Below are 3,124 nucleotides of genomic sequence, written 5' to 3'. Positions count from 1 at the left end.
AAACCATCCATATGCCAACAAGAGAGGGCAAGGGAATCTGTTGATGCAGTGCTGCAGGTCAGCTTCAGGTACAGAGCCCTGGAGAAGGGCAGGATGTGGTGTGGCCCAGAGGGACAGACAGATGACATCCTGTTTCCCTGTCATCTCCTGGAGAGCCACCTGTTGCTAATGGGATTGTGGCTTCTGAGACCCACCTGTCTACAATGCTGAGCAGTCATTTTTAGGCCATTTAGAATCTGTTTGGTGAGTTTACATCTCAAAGAGGGAGTTCCAGCCTCCTGTGAAACTCTAATATTCCCAATCTTTCAGTCATTTTGGGCCAGGGATCACTTTCTTCATCTCTCCAAGGACTAAACTGCTTGCATATTTTGGGGGTGGGAGTGTAAGTGACTAAGTGATTTAGAGACTGGGCACAAAACACTCTCCAAAATATACTTATTCCAGAATCATTACATAAATAAAATACTAATTATTTTATGACCAGCAATATTAAAAAAGATTTCTAGCATTCTCTACACACGCATTTAGTAAAGAATAGTGACTTTAGGCTGGGCACGTTGGCTCATGCCTGTAATCCCAGCACTTTGGGAGGCCGAAGTGGGAGGATCATCTCAGGTTGGGAGTTCGAGACCAGCCTGACCAACGTGGAGAAACCCTGTCTCTATTAAAAATGCAAAATTAGCCAGGCATGGTGGCAGACACCTGTAATCCCAGATACTTGGGAGGCTGAGGCAGGAGAATTGCTTGAACCCGGGAGGTGGAGGTTGCAGTGAGCCGAGATCGTGCCACTGCACTCCAGTCTGGGCGACAGAGTGAGTCTCCGTCTCAAAAAAAAAAAAAAAAAAAAGTGACTTTAAAAGAACAGAAGATGGCAGTTAATCTACTGAATCTTGCCCTTTATTCTAATCAAGGAGTCTTACCTATATTGTTTTCTCACAAATCTTTATACTGATGAATATTCCCAAGTCTTTAGAGGACAGTTAATATTGCAGTTTAAAAAGAGAAAAATATTATAAAAATTAATAGTGGTAGAAATTATGCAGATAAATCATGAATCTCAATTTCCTTTTTATGCTAGAAAAGGGGACAATTCAAAAACAAGCAAATGTACAAGTAAATATATTTCCTTTAATATTTTATTTTAAAATTATTATTTTTATTTTTTTTAACGCTGGAGTGCAATGGTGCAATTTTGATTCACTGCAACCTCTGCCTCCCAGGCTCAAGCAATTTTCCTGCCTTAGCTTCTTGAGTAGCTAGGACTACAGGTGTATGATACCATATTGGGCTATTTTTTTGTATATATATGTGTGTGTGTGTGTGTGTGTGTGTGTGTGTTTTATATATATATATATATATATATATATATATATATATATATATACATATATATTTGTAGATACTGGGTTTCACCAGGTTTCCCAGACTGGTTTCGAACTCTGAGGCTCAAGAGATCCACCTGCCTTGGCCTCCCAAAGTGCTGGGATGGGATTACGGGCATGAGCCACCACTCCTGGCCTCCTTAATTTTTTTAGAGTATATTTGTAATTACTTTGATTCATCTTCCTTTATACTTTATATTACAATAATGTATATTCTTGCATTCTTGGCTTTGTTTGTTTTTGTTTGTAACTATCTCTAATATACTTTTCAATTATGTGATGATGATGATAATAATATACTGATGGTAAACATTAATGCTGTATTGACTAACCTGCATTCTTTAGTTCTTTTTTTTAGATATTTGAAATACAACTTTATTATGATTCTAAACAAAAAGGGATGAGAATAAGAGTAAGAAACATTTCACTGTTGAATACTGTGTTGCGACTGTATAGGTCTTATACAGCGTTTGAAACTCAGGAAGGAAACAGCTGTGTTCCAAAACAGCTAATTATGCAGGCTCAAAAAAAATTTTTTTTTAGTGGTTACATTTACTCTGAAGTCCATTTATCTCCTTCAGTATCCCAAAGTTAAAGCAGACCTTCTGCTTAGCTGTATAATAAAGTGGCAAACATGCTCAACCACGACATCACAGGACAGTTGCCTATGAAGTTAGACTTCTGACTCTGGGCTCCAGCTTTATTTTCTCACAGGTCATCCTTCTCATCCAGGAGAGCAGTTGTCTGAGCAACCTCTAAATCATGCTCATATTGCACTGCCAAAGCTGGGTCCAGGAAAACCTGTGGTGGGGCAAGAGCAGGCATGGCTACAAACTTCAGGCTGGGGTCTTCAGTGAGCTTCTTAGCAGGCCAGAGGAAGGACTTTTCAAAGTTGTAGTTATTTTTGACATAAATGTTATAGTACTAAAGACTCTTTGTTTAATAGAAGAGAGTAAACTTTGTCTTCATTTTCTGGCTTAACATCCTTTTTTTTTTTGCCACAAAACATGATGGGGGTGTTTTCATACACTCATACCAGATCTCTACGTCAGGCACCTTCTTGTAACTCTTGATGTTACATTAAGCATTAGGGCACCCTGGGCTTGGATATAATAGCCATCAGCCATCTCTCAGTTTGCCAAATTTCTCCGGGCCAGCTGTGTCCCATCCATTGAACTTAATGGGCCCTTTGTTGGTGTATGAGTCCATTCTCACAGTTATAAAGAACTACTTGAGACTGAGTAACTTAAGAAAAGAAGTTTAATTGAGTCATAGTTCCACAGGCTTAATAGGAAGCATGACTGGGAGACCTCAGGAAACTTACAATCATGGCAGAAGGCAAAGGGGGAGGCAAGGACCTTCTTCACATGGTGGCAGGAGAGAGAGTGAAGGGGGGAAGTGCCACGCATTTTAAACCATCAGATCTTGTGAGAACTCACTGTCACGAGAACAGCATGGGGGAAATCTGCCCCCATGATCCAATAACCTCCCACCAGATCCCTCCCGCAACATCGGGAATTACAATTCAATATGCTATTTGTATGGGGACACAAAGCCAGACCATATCAGTGTGGAACGAAAGGGGATGGAGCTCCACACCCACGGTGGCTATATCTCAAATTCAGCAGTCAAATGATATTTCATGAGGGTAGTTTTCCAGTACTACCATCACCAATGCAAGTTTGTACTAAATTTGGGGTTCTCCTTGGGCAGGTGTCATATTTCTTCCAGAAGCAACTCTG

General features: G+C 40.1%; 1 pseudogene; it reads right to left on the bottom strand.

Annotated features, from left to right (window-relative positions):
• On the bottom strand, window positions 1,896–2,581 carry RANP7 (RAN pseudogene 7; annotated as a pseudogene).

Source organism: Homo sapiens, chromosome 3 (genome assembly GCF_000001405.40).
Source record: "Homo sapiens chromosome 3, GRCh38.p14 Primary Assembly".
Classification (NCBI taxonomy): Eukaryota; Metazoa; Chordata; class Mammalia; order Primates; family Hominidae; genus Homo; species Homo sapiens.
This window is presented reverse-complemented; position numbering and strand designations above follow the sequence as displayed.